Source organism: Homo sapiens, chromosome 7, assembly GCF_000001405.40.
Source record: "Homo sapiens chromosome 7, GRCh38.p14 Primary Assembly".
Lineage (NCBI taxonomy): Eukaryota > Metazoa > Chordata > Mammalia > Primates > Hominidae > Homo > Homo sapiens.
Window position 1 is genome coordinate 35313186 of NC_000007.14, and position 27769 is coordinate 35340954.

The window sequence follows — 27769 nt, forward strand, 5'->3', positions numbered from 1 at the left end:
GAGCTGCCTTAATTCACCTTAGGTATTGTCTTAGAATGTTTTTGCTGCTGTAACAGAATGCCACAGAAGTTTATTTGGCTCTTGAATCTGGAGGCAGAGAAGTTCAAGATGGAGGGGCCACGTCTGATGAAGTTCTTCTCGTTGCATCTTAATGGGGCTGGAGGAATCTCATGGCAAGGAGGCATCCAGAGGAGACAGAAGACGAAATAGGGCTGAACTCATCCTTTTATTGGGAGTCCACTTCCATGATAACTAACCACTCCCGCAGTAACCGTTTAACTCCATTCATGAGGGTGAAGACCTCATAACCGAATCACCTCTTAATATCGATGCATTGGGGATTAAGCTTTCAACACATGAACTTCGAGGGCCACATTCAAACCACAGCAGTATCCTGTGGTTATTCTCTTTTTTTTTTCTTTTTTTCTTTTTTTTCTTTTTTTTTTTTTTTTTTTTTAGAAAAATGCCCTTGTGTTTTGGCTGGGAATAAATGCCTGTTGGCCTGAGCTTTGTGCAAGAGTGGAGGTGTTTACTATTTCGTTGACAGTCCTCTCACTCTCCCTGGTTTTTGGCCCTGCTCCTTGTTTCCATTCTTGAGTGCATTGACTCTGTGTCCAGGGGTTACATGGTTCTGCTGCTTTCAAATTCCTGCAGCTTTTTCAAGGCTGCTCTTTCTTCTGTTCTGCTGCAAGCCACTAATGCTTCTCCATTTACTTCCTGTCTTCTGAAAATTCATTAAAACTTCTTGTATGTTGGTGAGTATCCTCCCATTCTCTTGGCTGCTACATGCTTATGTCTTTATTGATTTTTAATCATCTTAGGACTCAAGAGATACAGAGTCTAACGTGGGGACTTTGTCTGTAATCTTAAAGCTGAGTCCCCTAATATGCTTAAGAGGAATCCCTTAAATTTCATACATATATGATTTAAGCCCAGATTTGTTTGTTTGGTTGTTTTTAAACACATTTTATTGTTTATATTTGAGGTTTACAATGTGACGGTATGGAATACATTTAGATAGTAAAATGTTCACTTACAGTGAAGCAAATTAATGTATTTATCATCTCACATAGTTACTCGTATGTGTGTACATCTGTGACAAGAGCAGCTAAAATCTACTTATTTAACAAAATTCCCAAATACATACAATTTTATTAACCATAATCTTCATGCTGTATATTAGATCTCTAGAATTGTTCATCCTACAAATCTGCTACTTTGGATTCTTTAACATATATCTCCCCATTTTAAGTCAAGCTTTGAGAAATAAGTAGAATGTGTATAGAAACAGAGGATTGTAGAAGACAGACCAAATAGAGGACATGTTTGAGCCGTGGTGTGGAGATAGGTTTGACCATGCTAGGTTTGAAAGACTAATGAGGACACCAACCTAGTAGGAGCCCAAAGTTCCAGGAGGAGAGTCACAGGAAATAGGGCTGGCAAAGGAATCTGGATCTAGAGCTTTTCGTTCTAGATGGGAAAATTTGGCCAATAGATTTTGAGCAAAGCAAAAAAGCAATGAAATCAAGATTTTAGAAAGATTAATTTGGCAGGACATGAAAAATGCTTTGAGAGTAGGTAGACTGGAGGCAGAGAGCCAGCTAGGAAAAAATTGTGATCATCCATTTGTGAAATGAGGGATGGTGGCAGCAGAAATAGAAAAGTAGGAAGCGATGTAGGCAAATCAGAAATGACTATGTATGGTACTCAGTGACTGATTGGATATGGAGGACAAGATGATGCTAAGTTTTCAGGACTAGATAACTATAAAGAATTATTGACATTGATGTACTTAGAAAATTCACAGGCACCCATCTGACTTCCACCTCCTCTCTCTTCAAGATTAGTTTACCCATAGTAGAAATCTTGTTTTCCAGCCTACATTTCATAGGTAGTGGTAGCAGAGACGCCTGGTGGTAGTGATGATGGTGGAGATAGTAGTGATGATGGAGGTAGTGATAATGGAGGTGGTGGTAGATATGGCAGTAGTGATGGCAAAGGTGGTGTTAACAGTAGTGATGTGAATGTTCAAGGTGGTGGTAGTGGTGGTAGTAATGGTGAGAGTGGTGATAATTATGAGGAATGTGAGGTGAAATAGTGGAGGTGATTGTGGTGGTGATTGTACTAATGGAGGTAATTGAGATTAATGGTGGTGGTGGTGACAATGATGGTAATTATAAAGGGGGCTTGTGATAGTTATGAGGAAGGTGGTGATGGTGATGACGGTGGTGACGGAGATGACCTTGGTAGTAGTGATAATGGTGATGGTAGCAGAGATAGTTGGATGGCGGTAGTGATGATGATCGAGGTGGTGGTGGTAATTGTGTTGGTAGGGGATGGTGTTGGTAGGGGTAGTGGTGGCGATGTTAGAGGTGTGGATGATTTCAGAAATGGAGGAAGTGGTATTAGTGGTGGTAATGGCGCTGGTGATGATAATAGTGACAGATGATTGTGGTGGGGATGGTGGTGGGCAGGGTAGTAGTGAGAGTGGTTGTGGTGATTATAAGTGGTGATATTGATAATGGTGGTAATGATGATGGAGGTGGTGGTGATGGTAGTACTGGTTGCTATAATAGTGATTGTGCTGTGGGTGTTGTAGTGATGGAGGGAATCACAGTGGTGACTCTGTGGGTGGTGGTGATGGTAATAGTCCTTGTGATTGTGGTTGGGTGTGGTGCTGCTATTGGGCACATCTTAGCTATGCAACTGTAACTTTAAGTCTTGATCTTACTCTTTATACACATAGGGACTTTAGGAGAAAAAGGAATAGGATCTTACTCTTTCTACATATAAGGACTTTGGGAGAAAAAGGAATAGGAATAGGATCTTACTCTTTATATATATAAGGACTTTAGGACGAAAAGGAATGTGGCTCTCCACAGAACTATGAGACCCTGCTCTATTCTCTAGCCCCAGGTGATTAGATGAGGAATGGAAAGCTGACTCAGGGGAGCCAATCTTTAATCCGAGTTAAGAAGATCTTCTTTCTTTCTTTTTTTTTTTTTAGGGACAAGGCCTCCCAAAGTGCTGGGGTTACAGGCATGAGCCACTGCACCCAGCCTCAGTCAATTTTTTTTTCTTTGTTTGTTTGAGACGGAGTTTTGCTCTTGTTGCCCAGGCTGGAGTGCAAAGGCGTGATCTCGGCTCACTGCAACCTCCACCTCCCGGGTTCAAGCGATTCTCCTTCCTCAGCCTCCTGAGTAGCTGGGATTACAGGCATGTGCCACCACACCTGGCTAATTTTGTATTTTTAGTAGAGATGGGGTTTCTCATGTTGGTCAGGCTGGTCTCGAACTCCTGACCTCAGGTGATCCGCCCGCCTCAGCCTCCCAAAGTGCTAGGACTACAGGTATGAGCCACGATGCCTGGCCAAGTTAAGAAGAATTTCAACCTCTAGGATTTAGCTAAAGGCTTGGAAATTATATTGTAAGGTGTGAACATTTAAACTTAAGAGACTTGTGGAGTCAGAACTTCAGTCATCACCATGGCAATGGAATGGTGCATAGAGTCAGGGTTAAGAAATAGCTCACAAGCCATGAGTAATGAGAAAAGGCCAATGTGCCAAGAGAAACAGCAGAGGAAGCAGGTGGGTAGAGAGAAGCAGAATGAGTAAGAGCCAGCCTTCATCCCGCCTGACAATGTCCAGGCCCCTTGTGTTCCCAGAGACCCATCCATGTCTGTTCTGGTCTTGCATGTCCATGAGCTTGCCAGTTGTATCTACTCCATAAACTTCCCTTTTATTTGAATTACTTAGTATGTATGGGTTTCTGTTTCTCACAGTGAAATACGAGGGACTAAGATGTTCATGAAGTAAATTGCTCATTTTCCATGCTTTTTGCAGACTTCTTCAAAGGTCACTAGACCCTAGATACCACTATTAGATGCATTTGTGCTTGGGTCCTTCAGCCCTCTCCCAGACAGACCACAAGCCTAAGAATTTTATTTAAGACCATGTCCATTTCTCACAGGGTCCAAGCTTTACTTAACATAATCTAGTACTTAATAATTCCCCATTAGTATTTCCAAATTAGAGTTCCCTCCCCCAATGGGACATCACATCCTGCTCCTCTAGTTGTGGGAATGTCTCTAGATTGTGTCTCCCATACCCTCTTGCTATGATCTTGTTTCTCTGGTTTGCATCCTCGTGACTTACACCTTGATCCTTCTCTGCCTGCCTCCTTCAGATGCCTAACTGGAACTCTCCATCTGACTTTGGTTTGGTTCACTCATAAGATGCTGACTCTGGTGTCTCCCTCCCACAGACAATGAAGCACAGCTGATGGATGAGCTGGACTTGGGCCTGATGCCCTAGTCTTCTGCTGGGTTGGGAGAGAGGGGTGGAAGCCTAGAGAGAACCCTTCTCTACTGCATACCATCCATGTGCCAGGTGTTCTATGACTTGGGAGATCAGCATTCTTGCCTTCATTTTATAGTTGATAAACCTGAAGCTCAGAGAGCTAAAAGTAACTTGCCTAAGTTTATATAGTGAATGAGTGCCAGATCTGGGGTATGAACCCAGGTGGATTTGACTTCAAAACTCATCTTTCACTTTTAAACTGTGCTGACTTGCCAAGGGATTAAATAAACCAACATTTGTTGAGCACTATGGCAGTGACTTTAAGTTGTCCCCCAATGTTCATGTTCTCCTTTTTTCTTAATTGCAAAGCCCTGGTTTGTTTTGGTATGGAAATGTACCCCCTAAAAGACTCTATACCCCAGGCTTCCTGAAGCAAAGTATGCCCATGCAAAGCTGGTATGATGAGATGGAAGGGTTAAGGCGTGGTGGTGGTGGGAGGGAGGTTCCAGAAAGGCTGCTAAGAGCTTATAGTTGCTCTAGTTGATAAGTTCTCTCCTGTGCCCTTTCTTCTTGCTTCTAGAGAGCTCTAATGACCACTTTGGATATGAGGATATCCTGAAGAGAGCATCCATAGTCTAGAATAATGGAGACAGGGTCCCTGAGGTCTTCAATGCTGCCATATTGGCTCTGGGCTCCCTGCTTCTGTACTGTTGTATGTGGAAGAGCTATAAATGCCTATTTTGTTTAAGCTACTTTTATATGCAGTAGGACTCAAGCACCTTCTCTATGTCAGACGGTATGCTAGCACTTTAATGTTTCATTGCCTCTATTCCAGATGAGAATCCTGTTTCAGAAAGCTCAGGTAATTGACCTAACATCACACAGCCAGTTAAGTGGCATGATTTGACATATTGCTCTAGTATAATATAAATCTAAATTCCTGAACATGACATGTAAAATACCTGTGGTCTTCCATTTTGTTTTAGGCTTTTGAAAATGTTCTTCCCTCTGCCTAGAATTCTCTGCCTCTACTTTTCATCTGGAAGACTCCCAGTCATCCTTCATGACCCAGTCGAAGTGCTACCTCCTCTTTGCAGTCTTTGCTAAACAGCTGTCTCAGGACACATCTTTCTTCTGTGCTCCTGTTGCCGCATGCTGAACCTTATTAAGATGTTGCGTTGCATAAGACACGTACATTATATTGCACAGTATGATAATTGTTTAGATGCCTGTCTCCTCTCTAAAATGTCAGCTTCTTCTTCTTTTTTTTTTTTTTTTTTTTTTTTGTTTTTTTGTTTTTTTTGAGATGGAGTCTTGCTCTGTCACCCAGGCTGGAGTGCAGTGGCTTGATCTCAGCTCGCTGCAACCTCTGCCTCCCAGGTTCAAGCGATTCTCCTGCCTCAGCCACCCAAGTAGCTGGGATTACAGGCACCCACCACCACGCCCAGCTAATTTTTGTATTTTTAGTAGAGATGGGGTTTCACCATTGACCAGGCTGGCCTCGAACTCCTGACCTCAGGTGATCCCCCCCCACCTGGGCCTTCCGAAGTGTTGGGATTACAGGCGTGAGCCACCGTGCCTGGCCAGCTTCTTCTTTGTTAAAATTTTAGATTCAGGGGATACATGTGCTTTTTCGTTACATGGATATTACATGAATAATGGTGGGGACTGGGTTTCATGTACCTATCTCCCAAATATTGGACATTGTGCCTAGTAGGTAATAAAACGTCAGCTTCCTTAGAGGCAAGATCTTTCCATCTCTATTCTCAGCATTAGTTCACTGCTTGACACCAAAAAAGTAAATATTCATTGAATGACTAACTGCCTGAATGAATAAAAGTAGGCAGTTATGTTCAATGATACCTTTTATTAATAGTAAACTTCAGGGGCTTACTCTAGCATATTGAGGTTTATCTCTTCATGTCTCTAAAGCCACCTGGGAAGCAAAGAGAAGTATGTCCCTGGTGGGTTACTTTAAATGAAGATCTAAGATCTCAGGTCTCCGTGGATGGAGACCTTTCAGCTCATTTTTAACTCTCATTCCACAGCCCCTGCATCTAAAGATGATTGCAGCATATTTCCAATTCAAAATATCATTTTGTTGGGAGATGTGACTGAAAAGCTTATAAAGGTGGATTTGATTCTTGCTTTATTCCTTTCAAAAAATGGAATCAGCTCTAACACAGCATCCTTTTTTAAGATTTCGAAAAGTCTGAATCCATTTTAAACTAGATTGTGATTGACAAACCCACGGGAACACTAGCGAACAGTTAAATACTAATTAGCCAAACCCCCGCTACTCTCCCAGCTGTCAAAGGCAGAGATAGAGACAAAAGCTTCAATTAAACCTGAGTTGGTCCCCAAGGAGGGAGAGGTCAAAGGGGAGTGTTCAGTCAACTGTGAGATTATGTGAACACAGTCCCAAGTAATAATCATAAAAAATCCAAATGTACCTTTACATATTTAAAAATACATTATACTGACATTAAAACTCTCTTTTTGTCATTTTACTCTCCTCAATCTTCCCATCATTTCAATGTTTCCCATTATTTTTAGGATAAAATCCAAAGCCTTTCCCCTGACTTTCTGCCGCCAATGAAAATTTCCAGTTGTATTTGTCACTTACTCCTTGCCCTGGAGCACCTGCCCACTGGTCAAATGTGACCCCAGGTACATGGAGCTCAGGCTGAACTATACTCCAGCCTCCCCTTGGGCTGTCCAAATATGAGCTACCTATTCAGACTTAGCAACATGCTACCTCTTCTTAATCATCCGTTCAATTAAAATACCAGTTAACAACACAATTTCACTTATATAATCTCTTCTACACCTCCCTACAGCTTTAAGAGTTAGCTGTGGGGAAAGATAAATGCACCGAGACCAAGAGAGAATTCAGTGTTATTGTCCAAAGCCACACAGACACCAGGTGAAGAGCCAGGGCTGGAGCCTAGAACTCAGACTGCAGCCCTTGCCTCTCTTGTCGCATCATTGACTAGCCTTCCCAGGTGGTGGCTCAAAGCCTGTGCCACCTCCCAAGGAGGTTTTTCTGTCTGGGGAAAAGTGAGAAAAACATGATGAATTCTTCAAAAAGCTTAATCTAGTCAATTTACTAGACTCTCTTTTATTCTAACATTATACTTTTAGAATTAAAATGTAATTTATTTTTACTAAAGTAGTGGAAATAAGTTATGGTAAATTATTGTATAATTTATTTGACAATTAAATGTAACTCTGTATTATGTCAGAAAACCAGCTCTATTATTCTGATGACAAATTCCCCCAGGACTCCTTGTAGGCTGAGTTGTCCATTCTCTCGTTGGGCCACCCTGTCAGTAGAATAATCCCCCAGTAGAGCACCTGTCACTGCCCAGCTCCTATGTGTTTACTGGCCCTCTCCCCTTCTAGACCACGAGTTCCACGGAGTATGAATTCTGTGCCCTAACACCAGAATACCTGTCTCCATCAAAATTGGGTAACCACCAAGAATATGATCTACATCTAAATGTGGGCTGCTGAACTGATGTTCAGTTGAATCAACAACATCCACAATAATAGTACCTAACATTTATTGAATATGTCCTAACTGCTTAAAATCACATTTTCTGCTCTACATGCATTATCTCATTGGAAGTCAACATCCATGAGCTGGATCATTGAAGTATCAAATGGGATTCCATTTAGTCCAAGGAGAAAAATTTTGCAAACTGGATCATGCTTGGCCTTAAAAATAGGTAGAACAGGGAGAATGTAGACCCTCCTGTACGCTGGAATTTAAAAAGCATTGACAAACTGCCCTTGCCCGTGAGATATGCACCCATCTCTCTCTTCCAAGCTCTACCATTGGAACTTAATCCTTTTCAGTAGTTCATTAGCTTTTTCCAGAGATTTCTTTTAAAATGCAAATAATCCTGGGAAAGTAATTACAAGGCATAAGATGGGATGGAGATATGAATGTGGTTATGAATGGTGGTGGCATGACAGGGTATGTTGAGGAGAAAAAGTAGGGGAAGCTGCCTCCAGAAAACCCAAACTTGTCTACACAAAAAGACTTGAACTCAACCACTGGGCATTAATTCTCTATTTTATTTTACTGCTCCTACCCCAGCTTCTCCCAACTGATTTTCAAAATTTGAGCAAATATAATTCAGTATTTTTATTTAGCCTAAGTCCTCTATTCAAGTGAAGCTATGCTAACACCTATCCTCTAAAGATTACATTGCAGTAAGAAGATTTGTTTCCCTGATAAATAGGTAAATTTGGGGGAATTCATAACTTTTATATAATTCTCACAGGTATTTAAAATTCTCAAAGTTTAAGAAACATCCATTTAGAGGAGATTACTATAAAGAATTAAAACAGAACTTCTTAAATTATGGACCACTGACGTTAGGATCAACTAGGGCTTCTTGCAGATTCCTGGGACCTCTAGGACACAACTCTTGAATTAGAAAATCTGGGGTGGGATCCCAGAATCTGCATCTGAAAATCTTCCCAGAAGATGTACTTTAAAATTTGATTTAAAATTAAAAATTTGAGAACCACTAGCTTTAAATGAATTAAGGTTCATGTTTAGTGGTATTGCATTATTCTGTAGTTATCCATATTTCTGAATTTTAATAGTTGAATAAATTCCTTGGGTTTTTCTGAAAGACAGTCATGTCATCAGAAGTAATCATTTTTCCTCCTCTTTTCAGTTTCTATGATTGTTATTTCTTCTTATTGCAATGGCTGTGTAGTAAGTAGATCAGGGATTGGTAAACTATGAGGCACAGTCCAAATCCATCCGTCTACTCTTTTTGTATGACCCATGAATCATTTTCACATTTCAAAATGGTTTTTATGAAGAACTTTCTTTATATCTTCCATGGTGTCTCTTGGCCAGCAAAGCCTAAAATATTTGCTATATGGCTCCTTCCTAAAAAAGTGGGATGGTTCCTGTTGTAGACTAAGAAAGGTACCACCCAGAACCCCCGTGCTGTGCAGCTGCAGAGAGTTCGGTCAGTAAAGTGTCTCCAGCTGGTGAGGACTCCTCCAGGGTGGGCCAGCTCACTCAGAGGAAACCCTCCTAGGCATCTCGTAATGGCTCTCCAAGTAAGATGGGGTAGAAAGGCCAGGCAAGGAGCACTTGCTCCAGAGCTACCATCAGCTTGGCCAAGGCTTTGCTGGGCTGAGTCACGGTCGAACTTCTTTCTTTAAGAAGTCCTGCTTCCCACTCCTGCCCTTCACAGGTTTTGATCCATAATGAACATCTTCTACCCCAAGCCCTTCCTTGACATCTGCTTTCGGAAAACCAACCTTTGGCAGGCTGTGCTGTTGAGTACAATATTAATAATCCTGATAACAACAAACCTATCTCCTTCCTTCCTTTCTTCCTTTCCTTCTTTCCTTCCTTCCTTCCTTCCTTCCTTCCTTCCTTCCTTCCTTCCTTCCTACCTTTCTCTCTCTCTCTCTTTCTTTCTTTCTTTCTTTCTTTCTTTCTTTCTTTCTTTCTTCTCTCTCTCTCTTTCTTTTTCTTTCTTCTTTTCTTTTTTGAGACAGGGTCTCACTCTCTCACGTAGGCTCTATATCTTATTTCTAACTTGGAGAGACATGACTCTTGTTCATTGCTATATAAAATACTTGTTGTTGATTTTAAGTTCCTTGTCTCTTTAAATAAGTTTATTACTATTTTTAAGAGTGATTATATTTATTAAGAATTTTATGAAGAATGGGTTTTACATTCTATCATATATATTTTAAGCATTTTTTATTTTTAAATTAATGTAAATGGATTACACTTAGAGATATCCTAACATTGAAACATGCCTGCATTCTAAACTTAGAAAACGATGTATGAATTTTATTTATTAATTCACTTGCATAGTACCTGCTAGTGTTTTAATTTTTAACATTGAATAAGATTAATAGTACTGTAAAATTAACATTTTTTTGAGAAAATCTATGAATTTTAACACATGTATAAATCTGTGTAAATTGTGGGAGAATTGCTTGAACCCAGGAGGCGGAGGTTCCAGTGAGTCGAGATTGTGCCACTGCACTCCAGCCTGGGTGACAGAGCAAGACCCCATTTCAAAAAATAAAAATAAATAAATTGACCATGTTTATATGGGTCTATTTTTCTGTGTGAGTCCTCCAACTTTGTTCTTCTTTTTCAAAATTGCTTTGGTTTTTCTAGTTCATTTGCCTTTCTATATTAATTTTAGAGTCAGCCCATCTATATCTACAAAAATCCCCCAGAGATTTTGATTGCAATGGAGCTAAACTTACAGATCAATTTGGAGAGAATGGGCACCTTGACTGTGTTGAGTGTTCCAATTCATGAATATGGTAGGTGTCTCCATTTATATAGGTCTTCCTCGATATTTCAGAAGGATTTGGCAGTTTTCAATATACAGGTCCTGCACATGTTTTGTTAGTTTTATACATAAGTATTTCTCTTTCATTTGAACTATTTAAATGGCATTTAATTTTTTTTTCAGTCTCCAATTGTTGATTGCTAATATATGGAAATACAATTGATTTGTGTATGTTAACCTTTTATCCTGTGATCTTACTAAACTCACTTATTAGTCTTAGGTTTTTTTGTGTGTTTAATTTTATCAAATGCTTTTTCTGCAGCAGTTTATGGATGATCATGTAATTTTCATTCGTTAGTAGGTTTGTATGGTAGATTACATTGATTGATTTTTGAATGTTAAACTAGCTTTGTATTTCTAAAATAAAACTCACTTGTTTCATTGGAGGAACATACAAGAAAAAAAACCCTATGGTAATACATTACCCTGGTAATGTATTAGTCCCTTAATAATTTGCTGGAATTGATTCAAGAGTGCTTTGTTGAGGGCTTTTTTTGCCTATATTCATTAGGGATACATGTCCTTAGTTTTCTTTTTTTTTGTATTATCTTTGTCTGGTTTGATATCAGGTTACTGTTGGCTGCATGAAGTGACTTGGGAAGGTTTTTATTCTCTTCTATCTTGTGGAAAAAAATGTGTAGAATTGCTATTATTACTTCTTTAAATGTTAGAATTTACCAGTGAAATTACATAAGCCTGGAGCTTTCATTTGAGGAAGGGTTTAAACTACCCAATTTCATTACTACGTATAGGACTAGTCATATTATCTATCTCTTTGTGGGTGAGTTTTGACAGTTTGTGGCTTTCAAGGAATTAGGCCATTTTATCTAAGTTGCTGAACTTTTATTCATAGGATTATTGCAGTATTCCCATATTATTTCTTTAACATATATGTTTGTATTGTTACTCCCTCTTTCATTTCTGATGGTGGTAATTAACATCATTTCTATTTTTTCTTTTGTCAGTCTGTCTATAGATTTTCCAATATAATCATTACTTCAAAGAACCAACTTTTGGTTTATTAATATTCTCTATTGTTTTCTTCTTTTCAATTTCATTGATTTCAGCTCGTCTTTATTTTTTTCTTTCCTCTGCTTGTGCATCTCTATTTTAATTATGCTATCACATCTAAATACTTAATCACCTAATTTTCTTTCAACTCTTAAATTGTTGTAGTATGTCTTCAACCAATTATTCTTTAAAAATATGTGTCATATAATATTTTGAATCCTTGACTCTGAAAATTTACCTTTGGTGGTCATACATGAAAGCCAACTTAGCTAGGTATAAAATTCTTAGGTTATAACACATCTTTTTTTTCTAATTCAAAGACTTCTATTGACTTTTCATGTTTAATGGTTACTATTCTGGTTTGTTTTGAGTAATTTTAATAACCGCAGTTTATTTACAAAATTCAGACTAATTATTTTGTTCCCATGCCAACAAAATACATTTGTTCCCAGACAGCTGGTGTGATGCATCATTCTAAGACTTTTTATGAGAGATAGAACCACATTTAATTTTGGCCACATCTTATTCTCATGACAGTTTGAATACTTGCCTCTGTTTTCTGAAAAAAAAAAAAAAAGAAAAGAAAAAAAAACCTTGAACCACAGTGTCAAAGACAACACATTTTTTTTTTAATGTAGGTGTAGCTTCACTGACATCTAGCATATAGAGATGCAAATTCAACATATAGAGATGTCTGAGGCTACCCTGATTCTTGTTCCATCATAGGAAACTGGTTTTCCCTCCTGCAAATGAGAATATTTTCTTTATTTTTGCAATTCAAGTGTTTTGCCAAGAGGTTTACAAGTGTGGGTCAATTTTCAATAATTTTTATCTGGAATGTAGTGAGTTCATCAAGTCTCCAGGTCTTTCTTCAGCTCAGAAAAGTTGTATTAGATTATATATTTCATTATTTCTTTGTGTAGCATTTCTGGTTATGTACAATTCAGGCCTCTCCTTTGTAAATCAGAATGATTTGCCATTCCCTATTCTGTATGTCTACTGACTTTCAATTTTCATTGTATGTTTTTCTCTGTAGTCAGTTCTTATTTTGTTACCTTTTAATCTCATTTTATTCTCTTATTTTCAGATTTTTGCACCTATTTATTGAGATTATTTCTATTTGCACTCTTCTAAATATACCAATTAGTTTTCTGAAATTGTTTTCTAAATCTTGTAGTAAATATTTCCTAATCTTATACTTTTCTTCTGAGTCTTTGTTACATTGTTATTTTTCTTTTTTTTTTTATTACCTAAAAGGCAACAGAGGTTAAATGGACATTTGTTTAATGAATAAGGAGGGTAAGAAAGGTGAAATCTTTTCCAGATATTGGGTATGTGAATTACCTTTGGCCTCTCTTTGACTCTACTTATGTAATGGTTGAATTCACTTTTCAGATCTGTAGCTGCAGGCTAACTGATTTACACAGTTTCCAATCTAATACCCAGGCTTTCAACTAATGTGTCTTTCTATTAAGATGGCATCTATTCCCACATCTGATGTCCACCTGTCTGATAGTGATGGAATGCATGAACAAGCATAATTCCCATGGCTATCAACTTTCTTCCTATGTCTGCACATGCCTATAATAAGTTTCTCTTGGTGGTTACTAACCCCATGTACAATGCTCAAATGAAAGTTTTCTACCTGGCATTCGCTCTTTGACTGTAAGAAGATGTCATTAGATCAGAGAGGTTTATAGGCAGATGGGAACAGTAGTTCAGCTGTGTCTGGTCGTTGAAGGAAAGACTTATGCCCAGTGTTCTGGGTGGTAAAACTGGAATCTCTGAGTCAGTGGTGGTACAAAATACAGTAAATACAGTATCATTCAACATTTTATCTCTTTTTTTGTATGCCCATTTATTGTGAAGTTAGAAGATACTAAATACAGAGCTATGAGCCAACATCATTTTGTGCCAGAAGTCTACTTCTAGTATATTTTTAAAGTATTAGGTTTTGTTGTAAAATCCAGCCAAAATCTAAGGCATTTATTTTGAATGAAGACACACTGCTGTTTGTCTTATCATACACACCTCCTCCTACACACTCTTATATGTAAATATGCCAAAATTAAATACTCACACTGTACACTGACTCCAGACACTTGATAAAGGACTTTTGAGATAATTTATAAATATCTATTAAAGTAAAATAATAGCAACCGTTGTCAAAAAAAGCATCCACTTAAGTATATGCACAACTGAGGGTCTTCAAAATCATTTTATGTTGACCTATTTTTTCATTTTATTATAATGCTGACATAATATTCTTTTCCAAATCACTTCAGAGTTATCAACTCCTCTCTCTCACAAATTCCCAGTCCAATTAGCAAATCCTTATGTATCCCATTAAACAATTTTTTATAGTGTCTTGCAGAGTTCCACATCCAACATTATCTATCTCTAGCCTGTGGTTCTTCCCATAGGAATTCTTTTGCAATTCTTAAATGTCAAATCATTTATTTTCAAAAGAAAAACTGATAAACAAATTGCAGAAAAATGTGTGTTTTTCTCCCAAGAAAGATTACTGCAAAATATAGGAAAAACTCATAGACCTCTGATTTATCATCTACAATAATCCTGCTTTCCACATTGGCCTCAACTAGTCCCACACTTCTTTCCTTCCTAATTGCAAAAGCATAGCTGCGGAATGGCATTAACTATGGAACCAAAGGCAGGAAAATGCTCAATTTAAAAAGCTAGGAAGACATGGGCTGTATATAGTTATGCATTCTTCATTTAAAACATTTTTAGCAGCCATCTTACTGATTGATTTTCTTCGCCCTCTATTGGCATGTGTTTTTTAAAAGGCAGTTAACATGGTCCAAACCACTGTTTTTACTGTTTTTAGGTCCCTGTTTTTCTTTGTTTGAACAATGGCTGTAATCATGTTTTCTCAGGTCTCTTAGAAGTTACACTAATAAGTAGCAGACAGTTCTGTCCCATGCATTCTAAAAGCAGCTTTCTCATGTGGCAAGACAAGAAAGGAAAAAAAAATCATTGAACCTAAAATGAGGTCCTATATCTGAGAGCCTGTGAGGTCATGTCTGCACAGCATTTTGGAGTTCTGCTAACGTTTTTCTAATGGAGGTAGGGGTGAGTTGGTGATGACATAAAGGGCCCCTGAGAGGAAACTGTCAACTTTTGCTTAGGTGACAAGACCAGTTCAGAAAAACAAACAAACAAACAAAGAATGATACAATCAGCTCTCTACTCCTCCCCTCCTCCACTTGCAGAAATGGAGTTGAGGCTTGTCTAAATCACCTCCACAGCCTTCCTCTGCCTCCTTTGAAAATAGGTGTTGATGTACAGATCAATACTCTTTAGTTCTTGCTACCCTCACTGGAAAAAGTACAAAGTTGGCCAAATGTGTTTCTGAAAAGTTTATTTCCAAGCTAAACCCAAGGCACAGTTGTGCCCACAGGACCATCTGTTGGCTCATCAAATAAGCACCAGAAAATACATCTGGCTGTGCATCTGGGAAACAAAGGTTAATTTCAAAATTGGCAGAAGAATTTGTGGGGGGATATCTCTCATTGTCTTGTGCAACGACTTATGAGATCATCTTAGTGAAGAAAGAACCCAAAGAGCATGGCCCAAGGGCCGAGTAAGGCAGAGAGTGATGAACTGCTCTGCCTCACAAGCTGAAGCTTGGGTTCCCAGGGCAATCCCCAGAAGGAAGAGAGCTGGCCCTGGAATAGGAAAGGGAGGACTAGGATGGCGGAGTGGAGGGAGACAGCCCAGAAGAGTGGCTGGAGGTTGAAAGCAGAAGAGAAAGCAGTCTCCCAGAAGTTCCCTATGGTGGGTATGATGGAGATACTTTTAATATCTGAATTGTTTGATATCTAGTCTTAAGGTTTTTTGCATTATATTGTCAATTCTCTTTATTTGCCATATTTATATCCTATGAAGTTGCTGCAAACCCTGAATCTTGGGGTGGGGAAGGCCTTTTAAAGCATGATGTCACAGGCAGAAATCATAAAGGAAAGATCAATGAATTCAATGGATAAAAATTTAAAAATTTAAAGCTGTATAGCAAAGAAACAAACAACAACCTACAAGCAAAATGACAAACTGGAAAAAAGCATTTACAGTATTTTTGAAGAAGGATTAATATTCTTAATATACATAATTCTTTACAAATAAACAAGAACATAGAAAGATAATTAAAAGGTACAAGCAAGTGCTATGGACTGAATATTTGTGTCCCCAAAATTCATATGTTGACATCCTAATCCCCAATGTGATGGCATTTGGAGATGAGGCCTTTAGGAGGTAATTAGGTCGTGAGGGTGGAGCCCTCATGTGGGATTAGTTCTCTTGTAAGAAGAGACATGAAAGAGCTTGCCTTTCCCTCTCTCCCCTCTATCATGTGAAGACACAGCAAGAAGATAGCCACCTGCAGACAGAAAATGGCCCTCACTAGACTTCAGGTCTGCTGGCACCTTGATATTGGACTTCCCAGTCCTCAGAACTGTGAGAAATAAATGTCTGTTGTTCAAACCACCTAGTCTTTGGTATATTTGTTATAGCAGCCTGAACTGAATAAGACAGCAAACAAATCTACCCCTCTCCAAAGTATAACTAAAGACCAGGAAAAAAAAGAAATAAAATAAATTTGAGATCACAGTAACCAAATAACTGAGAATTAGAATGATATACTTTTTTTAACCCATCAAATGGGCAAAGATGAAGGGAAAAATAACATCTGTCATCTGTCAGTCTGTCGGAGAAAGAAGTCTACATCTACTGACATGGGAAGCAACGTAATACATGTGTTTAAAGGGCAATTCAGCAAGGGTAAAATATCGAAAGCCAGCACCAGATATCAAAAGTCTTGAAAATGTGCATATCATTTGCTATAGCAAATCTCCCCTTAGTATCCTTTTCTAAGAAAATTATTATAAATGTTCATCTTTAACTATAAGAATTTTTAACGCAGTGTTGTTTAAAATAAGTACCCAACCATATCATGTTTTGGTAATTAAAGCATGGTAAATGCAGACATGGAGTATCATGTAGCCATTAAAAGAGCATTTTAATACATGGAAAGGTGTCCACAATATAAAATGTAATTAAGTGAAAAATCAATTTATAAAACAATGTCTTCAGTTATTCATGTAATCAATTACTTTAATAAATATTTGTTAAGTTTCAATGTGCCGTGGCAGTGATCACATAAGTAGTACTATAACAGTCCCTGACATATTTTTTAAACTATATGCACACAGAAATATATATTACAACACATACACACAGAAAAAATACTGGAAGTCTATCCACTAAACTATTAATAGTAGATATCTCTGAATACATGTGATTTTCATTTCTTACACTTTAATTATGATTTCTAAATTTTGTACAGTAAACTTATTTCCTTCTGTAGGAATACAAATCTTAATTTTTTAAATCATTTCCCTGTTTTACTCTCCTTTTCTTTTTACATTCTTTAACCATTTCCCCCTCTCTCCCAGTGTGATATCTTGATGTAGAACCAGAATAGGAAATGAATTTCACCTGAAATAGTAAAGTGGCCCAAGACAGACAATGAGGCTGAGGAACTTTGCAGGCAAAGAAATGCATGCTGAGTAGAGTAACCTCCTATTTATCAGAAAGGAAGGAGAATGGTACCTATTTGGATTATCAGAGATTTAACTCACAGCCCAAGCTTCTTTTGAGCATCTCCTTCTGTCTACTCGCACTGCCGCTTTCCACCTGGTTCCCTGAGGCTGGTTTTCCCACCTCCAATCTGTCCTATGTCTCATGCTTTCCACGCTACCTAATACAATCCAAGATCTTCAGCCTGGCATTCAGAGCCCATCTGCCTGGTCCCAGCCTACCACCCTTCGTTATCATCCCTACACCTTTCAGTGCAGTCCAACCCAACCACTGCCTGCCCTGCTGGCCTGCCCTGTGCTGTGGTTTTGCTCATGCTCTGCCTGGTCAAAGCCATCCCTTCATTGGCATCTGCTCAGACCGTACTTTCGCCACAAGACTTTTTCAGCAGTCTTCCTGCCAGGTTTCCCCATTAGCATATGTTTGTACCTGTATTATGGCACATGTCTCTGCCTGACATTGCAGTTCTTTGTATGAGAGCTGTATCTTTTCTTTGTGTCCTCAGAGTGCACAGGAACCCAGTGCACATTTTCCCCACTGAATTCACCATGCTAAATTAGAATTAGCAATTTTCTTTGTATTTATTTATTTATTTTTATTATTAGACTTTAAGTTCTAGGGTACATGTGCACAACATGCAGGTTTGTTACATATGTATACATGTGCCATGTTGGTGTGCTGCACCCATTAACTCGTCATTTGCATTAGGTATATCTCCTAATGCTATCCCCCTCCTTCCACCCCACGAGAGGCCTTGGTGTGTGATGTTCCCCTTCCTGTGTCCATGTGTTCTCATTGTTCAATTCCCACATATGAGTGAGAACATGCGGTGTTTGGTTTTCTGTCCTTGTGATAGTTTGCTCAGAATGATGGTTTCTAGCTTCATCTATGTCCCTACAAAGGACATGAACTCATCCTTTTTTATGTCTGCATAGCATGGAATTAGCAATTTTCAAAGAATGAGAGTGTATAAGTGCACTGGCCACAAAATAGTCTAAATATTGTATTTTTTAACAGAAGAATACTTTATTTATATAGCATTCTACCATTTATTTATAAATCTCTTTCACATAATGAGAGCCAGACTGGGCAAATATTTTTATTTGCAGTTTCCTGGGAAACTGATTTATCTAATGCTACATGGATATTCAGAGGGCAGAGCTGAAATATGAAATCTGATTTCTTCCTTCCCAATGCTGTGCCTTTTGTTGAACTAACTGGTTTGATTTAGAAGGAACCTCAAGATCTTGCAGTATGAGGGGCATCATTTTAATATTCATTTTCATTGTAGAAATTCTGATAATAGGAGCTTTTTGGTTATTTTGTGTCTGAGCAGATTGGAATTTATTTTGTGATTAATTCATCTGGTAAACCAGCATTGTCAGTGCCTGGATGGTCCAGCTGGCCATCAGACATTTGTGTCCTGGCCTGTGGCATGACCTCTAGGTATTCCTCTCTTCCCAGGTGGGGGCAGGGCGGTCCTGCGTCACGGCTGACACTGCAGGCTTGCCCGGCCTCCTTCTCGGAGGTCGTTGGACCCTGTAGATTTTCCTACAAATGTCTCTGGCATTCGAGAGGAGAGTAAGCCCCACAGAGCCTGCTTGTTCACAGAGGGCCTTATCAGTTGTTGATGAGACCCTGTCTAGGCTCACAGACAGGCAGTTTCCTCCAGCCCCAGAGCCCGAGCCCGCTGTGGAGCCAGAAGAAGGTGATAAGCCTCCGAGAAGATTTTTTAGGAGCCTTGCCTATCTTTCACACCAAGTCGCCAGGGTACATTTTCCATGGTCGCCATTTACAGATAGGGTGGCTGCTCTCGGATAAGGCTGGGGGCCGGGAAGGGCGGGGGAGTCATTAAAGGGGGCAAATGGTTTTTCCAATTAGCTACCCTTAGGAATCCTCCAGAATTCTAAAGGCTTTGTCACTGACAACTTTTTTTTTTTTTTAATTGTAAAAGTTCCTCCCTAGCCAGCCAAGTAAACCCTTCCTGGTTGGCCCTAAAGCAATCGGACAGGGCAGGCCCAGAGCCTCAGAGAACGGAGTCTTATTGGGCTTTGACTATTGCGAATAGAATATTCTGTCTGCAGCTGCCAGGCAGGAAGGCTGTGGTGATAGGGGCAAAGGGGCTGCCACAGAAAATTCCAGTGTAAAGCCCAGTCACTCAGATCCGTCAGGCTATGGTTTATAGATTCTACCACAGACTGACCCTTTGACGGAGTCTTCCTGCCAACTACGTGGGGCAAGAGCAGAGAGTAACACAAAGAGATGGGTCAGGTGCTTGGCTGGAAAATGCGAGACAGGGTCCTATTTCTAGGACTCAGAAAACTTCTCTTTTCTGGACACCTTTTTTTTTTTTTTTTTGAAATAAGGTCTTGCTCTGTCGCCCAGACTGGAGTGCAGTGGTGCAATTATAGCTCACTGCAGCCTCAAACTCCTGGGCTTATGCCATCTTCCCACCTCAGCTTCCCTAGTAGCTGGGACTACAGGCGTGCACCACCACGCCCCGGCACATTTTTGTATTTTTTGTAGAGACAGGGTTTTGCTATTTACCCAGGCTGGTCTCAAGCTCCTGGACTCAAGCAATCCGCCCACCTTGGCCTCCCCAAAATGTTGGGATCATAGGTGTGAGCCACTGCACCTAGCCCATGTTGCTTTCAGTTTTTTAACTGTTAGTTTTTTCTTGGTCATTACCCCTAAGAGCAGATATAGAATGTAGCTTGCTAGGGAAAATTTGAGAGTAAAGCATGAGGTTTGGCGAGAATACAATGGTGTGTGTGTTGGTGGGTGGGTGACAGAGGCTGGCAGCAGTGTCAGATTGGCTACTCTAGTGTGGAGTTATTTTATAATATGCCATCCAAAAGGCCACTCCCTTTGTGGATTGAAGTTTTCCAAGAGTTAACACTCAGACTATTATCAATGCTGTTAAACACGCTGGCATGTTTTTTCCAATGTTGACTCACATGATAATCTTGCTAAGGTGGCTCAGATTCCACGGTGTGGAGCAGGCAGTCTGGGTCTAGCTCATGTACTTTGGCAAGATGATGCTTGTACTGCCTGTAGGAAGGTGACAGGAATAGGGCTATAAGTGGTAGCCGTAAATGTCATTATTATCATTATTATTTCTAGCAAGTAGCAATGATGTGAAAATGGACTGGGGCCATTACTATGAAAGGAACACATAAGCAAAGTAAAAATGACAAATACAAATGATGGGGCCTTATTTAAGCCTCTCTACCAGTCACAGAGAGAAAAACACTGGTAGCTGGTGAGCCCACTGTGTAAATACAATTGCAGGACAGCAGTTCCATTCCTCCATGGCTGAAGCTTGGACACTCTTCTTTCTGGTTTTTATTTTTCTTGAGAAACCTGAACCCTGGGGAGACAGGCATAGGTAGAAATGCCTTTCCATTCCGCTTGGAAGAAAGAATAAGCGGTCTTCAGATTAGGTTCCCAAGATTAGTATTTATCTTCCTGTTCTGCTTCCTTTATTTTGGAACTTGATAACTCAAGGCGACCACCAGCAAGACCACCAACTATTCACCCTCTATGTAAAATTCCATGCTGGAACATGAGTTTTCTGGTTTATTTTGAAGGCGGAAAATAGGTGCTAACAGCCTCAGCTCCTGGTGTCAGTGCTGTTAGCCACTGGATACTGCTGGGTCCCAGGCAGCTTACTTTGAAAGAGGCAATTTGGGCCCAGCTGAAATGGTCATAATGTTGTTTGGAGGCCCCATGTGCCCTTTGAACTTTGCAGACAGACTCTGCCACTAAAGGGGCCTCAGGAATCATTTCATAACATCAATGGTTTTTCTTTTCATTACAGAGCTGGCAGAGTCATTAGGTACTTCGGTGTCTGTAGAAAGTGCCAAGCCCTTGGCAAATCTGGGTTCATTTACCAGGGTGGGTGGTAAGCTTATGTGTGTCTATTTATAGGTGAGGAAATAGAAGAAGAGAGAAGGTTACATGGAGCTGTAGGAATCTAAATCCTAGAAGGTTCTGGATCCTGCAAACTACACTGCCTAAGTTTGTCTCATTGTGCATTTAGCACAGCATGATGGATGGGGTGGGGAGGCTGTGTTTCCCAGCTTTATGCTCCACAGTGGGTAGTCAGGCTCATGGACATGCTAAGGCACTGGTTTTAGTATTCCCAGGGCCCATCAGTATGAGACTCAGTACCCTCCTGACCACTCATACTGGCCACTTGGAAGTCACGCCTCCCTTGCTAATGGTACATTATCCCACAGGTCTCTCTCTCACCAAGATGGAATGCAGCCAGTCGTCCCCTGGGGAATCCCCATACTTGAGTTACTATTTGTCCTAGCATTTATGAGTCTTCCTTTTCACGTATTTTTTTAATAGTAAAATTAAGCAATAGAAAGTATCCATTGGAAAAATAAATACAATGTATAATTTTCTTTTTCCTTAAATGAAAGACATCTCTTGTTCTCTTTTCACAATAGCGTCCCTTTCATCCATTATCTAATCAACGAGAATTTCAGTAACCCGATATTTTCAAAACGTATTGATTGTTTTAACAAAAGCAAGAAAAATAATAAAGTAAGTAAGACTTTATTAAGAAAATAATTTTAGAGCGACTTTCAAGATATACAATAGTAGGGGCAGTATACTTTCCACTTAATACTCAAATTAGTATTTGAGTACCTGGGACAACCAGGCATCAGAGGTCCCTTCAGGGAGGACCCGACTTCACTAAATCGGAAACTCTAGAAAACCCCTACCCTACCCTGCCCCTGTCATCTCTACAGAACTGTACCAAGACCTTGAGGCACACTTCAGAATTCTCAAAAATCCATCCAAATAATTCAGTCTCATTTGAATGGCAAATGCAGTTTATTGCCTTTTAACTCTGAGAATCATTTAACTCTTTGGACAAATGGCATAACTCAGCCAACCAAACTACTGAGTTTCCTAGAGCTCTCAGATTTCCTTTCATTCTAGAAAAGCCAGGGGCTTTCTGCAAGAATTAAAAAGGAGGTGATTTCTTTTTTCCTTTTCCAAATTTGCCAAGTTATTTTCAGTGGATGTCAAAGATGTGCTTATTTTTGTGCAATGCTCAGTTTTAGGCCTTTTAGACTTTTCCTTCCTCCTGCTGAAGGGACTTCAGAATTTAAAGTAAGTATTTATTTTACAAAATCCTTGCCTTAAGCAACCTAAGTGTCCATCAATGGATGAATGGATAAACAAAATGTGGCCTATACATATAACTGAGTATTATTCAGCCTTAAAAAAGAGAGAAATTCTGACACATGCTAGAACATAAACCTTGAGGACATCATGCTAAGTAAAATAAGCCACACACAAAAACGACAAATACTACATGATTGCACTTACATGAGGTACTTAGTCAAACTCATAGAGATAGAAAATTGAATGGTGGTTGCCAGGGGCTGGGGGTAGAAGGGAATGGGAAGTTATGTTTAGTAGGTATGGCGTGTCCATTAGGGAAGGTGACAAAGTTCTGGCAATGGATGCTGGTAGTGGTTGCACAACAGAATGTAGGTATATACTTCATGCCACTGCACACTTAAAAATGGTTAAGATGGGGCCAGGCAAGGTGGCTCAAGCCTGTAATCCCAGCACTTTGGGAAGCAGAGGCGAGCAGATCACCTGAGGTCAGGAGTTTGAGACCAGACTGGCCAACATGGCGAAACCCCATCTCTACCAAAAATACAAAAAAAATAAGTTGGGCGTGGTGGCAGGCACCTATAATCCCAGCTACTTGGGAGGCTGAGGCAGAAGAATCGCTTGTAGCTGGGAGGTGGATGTTGCAGTGAGCTGAGATTGCACCATTGCACTCCAGCCTGGGCAAGAAGAGCGAAACTCCATCTCAAAAAGAAAGAAAGAAAGAAAGAAAGAAAAATGGTTAAGATGGTAAATTTTATTTTATGCAAATGTTACCACAATTAAAAAACTATATACTATGTTATATGGGTTTTATCATCCTTTGACTGATTCATGTGATTCTGAAGGGAGATGCTGTCCTTTCCCCAGCACTGGGACAACTCCGTAGCTTTCAGGTCTTGCTAGCACCAAGGCAGCGTGCTGTCAGGCAGATGCCAGAGTTCAGCCACCTGCAGTCAGGATCGCTGATGTCCAGGACATTTCACAGAGGCTTTTTCCTGGGTCTGTGTTCTTGGCAAAGTGATAATGCTCCTAATTAGCACAGAGACCTGCGTCCAGACAGCCTGACAGGCCGGGCCCTTAGACGTGGGGATGGGGAGGAAGCCAGAGGAGGCTCTTCTGCAGGATATGCTCCCAGGCTGAAGCTGAGCCCAGCTAGGAGTGGCTGAGCACCCAGCTGTGGGGAGGCATGGGCTGGAAGGAAAAGGGAGGCCCTAGATAGAGAGGGCAAGAGGAGAATGTTTTGCTGACAGAAAAGAGATATGTTTTAGACCAACTTCTAATGCTTGTGTGGTTTTAATCTCGTGGTCAGAGAGCAGTGCTTTTCAGGATAAGCTGACTTAATTTACTGTCTTCTGTGCACTTCTTCCAATGAGGACCCAGGGAGGCTTCTGCGAAAGAATTTCTCCGTCCTTTTCTGTCTCCTCTCTTTTTCTCCCATAATTAAAGCCCACGAAGACTTTGCTGAATGATTTATAACAAGTAGGGGAATCTTAAGAGCAGAACTTCATCTCCCACAATGTGACATCTAGCCCTTTCTCTTTCCCTGTGACAGGCCCTTGAATATTAGAGACTGTGTACCTCACTGACCCCTATAATACTGTAGTGAATTCAATGGTGGCACCCCAAAACATATGTCCACCTAGAACCTGTGCCTATTCCCTAATTTGGAAAAAGGGTCTTTGCAGATGTGATTAAGGATCTCAAAATAAGATCATCCTGGATAATCCAGGCAGGCCTTAAATCCAATGACAAGAGTCCATATAAAAGAAAGGCAGAGGGAGATTTGAGGCACGGAGAAGGCCAAGTGAGAATGGATACAGAGATTGGAAAAATGCAGCCCAAACTGAGGAACTGCTGGAGCCACCGGAAGCTGGAAGAGGTAAGGAAGAATTGTTGCTTAGAGCAGTAGTCTCCAACCATTTTGGCACCAGGGACTGGTTTCAGGGAAGACAATTTTTCCACACACCAGGGAGTTGGAGGGGGATGGTTTTTGGATGATTCAGATGCATTACATTTATTGTGAACTTTATTTCTATTATTATTAAATTGTAATATATAATGAAATAATTATACAACTCACCATAATGTAGAATCAGTGGGAGTCCTGAGTTTGTTTTCCTGCAACTAGACAGTCTTATCTCTTTGGGGAATGGGAGACAGTGACAGATCATGAGGCATGAGATTCTCATAAGGAGCACGCAGCCTAGATCCCTCGCATGCTCAGTTCACAATAGGGTTTCCACTCCTGTGATAATCTAATGTCCCTGCTGATCTGACAGGAAGCAGACCTCAGGCAGTAATGCTCCTTCACCTGCTGCTCATCTCCTGCTGTGTGGCCCGGTTCCTAACAGGCCACAGACCAGTTTGTGGCTTTGGGGTTGGGGACCCCTACCCTAGAGCCTTCAGAGTGAGTGTGATGAAGCTGACACCTGATTTCAGACTAAAGGAATAAATTTCTGTTGTTTGAAGCCACTGAAGCTTGTGGTAATTTGTTAGAGCAGCTCTAAAAACTGAATACACAGGGATGCTCGAACTCTCCTGTGCACACATCACCTGGGGACCTGCCTGTGAGACAGCAGGTCAAGGCTGGGGTCTAAGATTCTACATTGCTGAGACATTTCCCATGACACAAATGTTGCTGACTGTTCCACACGCTTTGAACACACAAAAACTAGTTTGAGAAATCGACTTTCAAACAGAAGCACAACAAATGAACATTTTAATTATGTTCGGCTGGGAGCCACTGGCTAACATTCAATTTTGACTTGGGCCTCTGTGCTCTTTACCCTTATTTGTGGTTTTTATCACAGTAGTTGTCCTGATGTGTTCAGTGCTATATAGAATGCCATTATCTATGATCTCCGCCCCAAAACTTAGAACCAATAATTTCTTTTGCACAAAGGTCTCTGTGTCTCATCTTCCTTACCTGTTAAACAAGGGACTTGGACTAGCTTTGCTTAAGTTTCTTCCAGCTCAAACTTTCTTTGAGTATGGGATACTTTTCACACCCAGAAAGAAGATTCTGTGGGTCTCAGTTAACTACCTGTGCCTTCAAACACCATCCTTTACTTTAACCTTGAAGTCTTTCTCATCATTTTGTCCTACACTAAGGAAATAAAGTATCCTAGATGGGATAGAATACTCCTTGCTCATTGCTGCTGTGATTTTTCTTACTAGTCAGCTGAGGTAGCCACAATGAGTGGTAAGCTTTCTGCTGAATAGCTAATTCCCATGAACTAGTTGTCTTTCTGATCTGTCCTCTATTTTCAAGGAGTGTGTGTGTGTGTGTGTGTGTGTGTGTAATAAACTTCACTGACTTCATCCCTGTGGTTGGTTCGTGCACATAACTGAGTGGGAATGCTGACTACATCCAGACCATGTAGCTGTAATCTGCGTTCCTTTAGCACAATCCAGAAAATACCCATCTTCTGTGGGTGTTTCTCTGTGGGCATAAAGTGACCACTGTCTTTATCAGAATGTCACTCCCTTAATACGTGGTTTTTACAAAAACCTTACTCTCAGGATTGACACTGCAGAATTTTGCAAAGATGCTATACAATGTCCAATAATCCCAGTCGGACAGCCATTTTCAAAAGCCACAATTCAGTTCCTCTGTTCTTATTGCCCAACCACACTCCACTCCTTGAAGTAAGCACTTAAAAGATTTGGTTTCAAAATATCCAAAAAATGCATAAGGCAGGAGCCACTCGTCAATGACACAGATTTTCCAGCCCATCGAAAATGCATTTACCTTCCTCACAGGTCTAGCAGGCGCCTCCTCACTGACCTTCACAGGCAAGTTGGAATGGAAGGGTGTTGCTGGAAATGGAGTGAAGTCATGTTAAACATGTCCCCAAATGTTTATGCTGCGGAGTGATCAGTAACCACCATCTTCACTTTACTTTGATTCATTTTGTTTTTCTTCACTGCCTCACCCCTCTTCTCTTCCTGTTTCTGTCAAACTTGTTCGGTGATGAAAACAGTGATCCTCACAAAATACCTAATAGCTGTGAAGGCTGATAGTAGGAACACAACAGGGCAGGAGTCTGCTTGTGGGATCTGGGGACGGAGGCACACGTAGGACCAGCGTCTTCTCCTGGTACCTCTGGCTCTATCTGCTCCGTGCTCTGCTTTTTCTACCTTGCAGCTTCCTCTGTTTGCTCAGTGTCTCTGCTCCTCTGTTGCTTAGACTTACACGTGGCACTTTCCAGCCACCTAACCTGTTTCTTGCTATATGTAGCCTTCCATCCAACTGCATTTTGGCAAATTCTTTCCATGTATTTTAGTTCAAATTCTCAGCGGAAAGAATTTGATCATATGAGTACCTTACCTTTTCATTGGACCAATGGAAGATTGCTGTCTAGCCTCTTATTGGTGCTCCCAGATCATGTGATCTTTGTCACGTGACTTTCATGGACCCAATCATCTGTGACTCAGGTACCACAAGGTACAAATCATGGCCCAGGCGGCAAAGGACTGAGGGCTGGGCGGATTCCTTGTGAAGAGAGTTTAGACGGGGCTGGCAATTTCCCGGGTACAGGCTTTCCTCATCTTACCCTGAAAGGGATCTAGATATAAAAACCAAATGAGGAGCTTCAGGGGATTGGAGGCCACAGGACACAGAGCTACAGAGTAAGTACAGCCCGCCTCCTGGATTCAATCTTGAAACGTGAGAATGAGTGAAGCCAGAGTCACAGAGAATTGAAGCTGACCTCCTTGAAAACAAGACCAAAGAAGTGTGTTCAGAAGCCAAAAATGAGCTGGAGTCCTTGTAGAGGCTCAGCCCAACATATCAAAACATTGTCAGGGAGAGGAGGCTGAGGCCTTGCTGGAAGCGGCGGGTGTGAAAGGGCAGGAGAGGAAAGCTCTCAGCTGTGAATGTGCGCTGTACTTGTGGAAGTAAATCGGGCCACAGCCTGCCACACTGCACATCAAGGGTCATGGCACTGTGTGAATTCCATTTGCAGGTTCCCTTTTTAAAAGGCAAAGCTGGCCTTCCTGGCTCTAATGGAGAAGAGCAGCTTCAAGTTTACAGCCAGAGAGGAGGACGTTTCCCTGGCATCGGGAGACTTTGATTGTCTGGGCTGGGTACCCCATTGCTTTTGTGGTCCTCAAGCCCCCTGCCCATTGCCACCTCCTTCGCATTTTCTGTACTCCACTGCTTGGCTACTTTTACCAAAGATTTCTTATGTTTGAATAGCCATATGTGGCATTAAGAGTGACTTGACTTAAAAGCTAATTCAATAAAGCTTCTGGAAGAAAATAAAGAATACTTGCACAACCTGGGGATGAGCAGGGATTCCACAAACAGGACACTAAAACACTAACCATAAAATAATAAAAATAATAA

General features: G+C 40.5%; 1 long non-coding RNA gene across 1 annotated transcript in view; it reads left to right on the plus strand.

The window, feature by feature from the left end:
* The first annotated feature begins 669 nt into the window (after positions 1 to 669).
* LOC401324 (uncharacterized) overlaps positions 670 to 27769 on the plus strand; it is a 62622-nt gene continuing 35522 nt past the window's right edge. Inside the window, exon 1 of the long non-coding RNA NR_038864.1 lies at positions 670 to 755. This is a non-coding gene — a long non-coding RNA (uncharacterized LOC401324). The remainder of the gene's footprint in view (positions 756 to 27769) is intronic.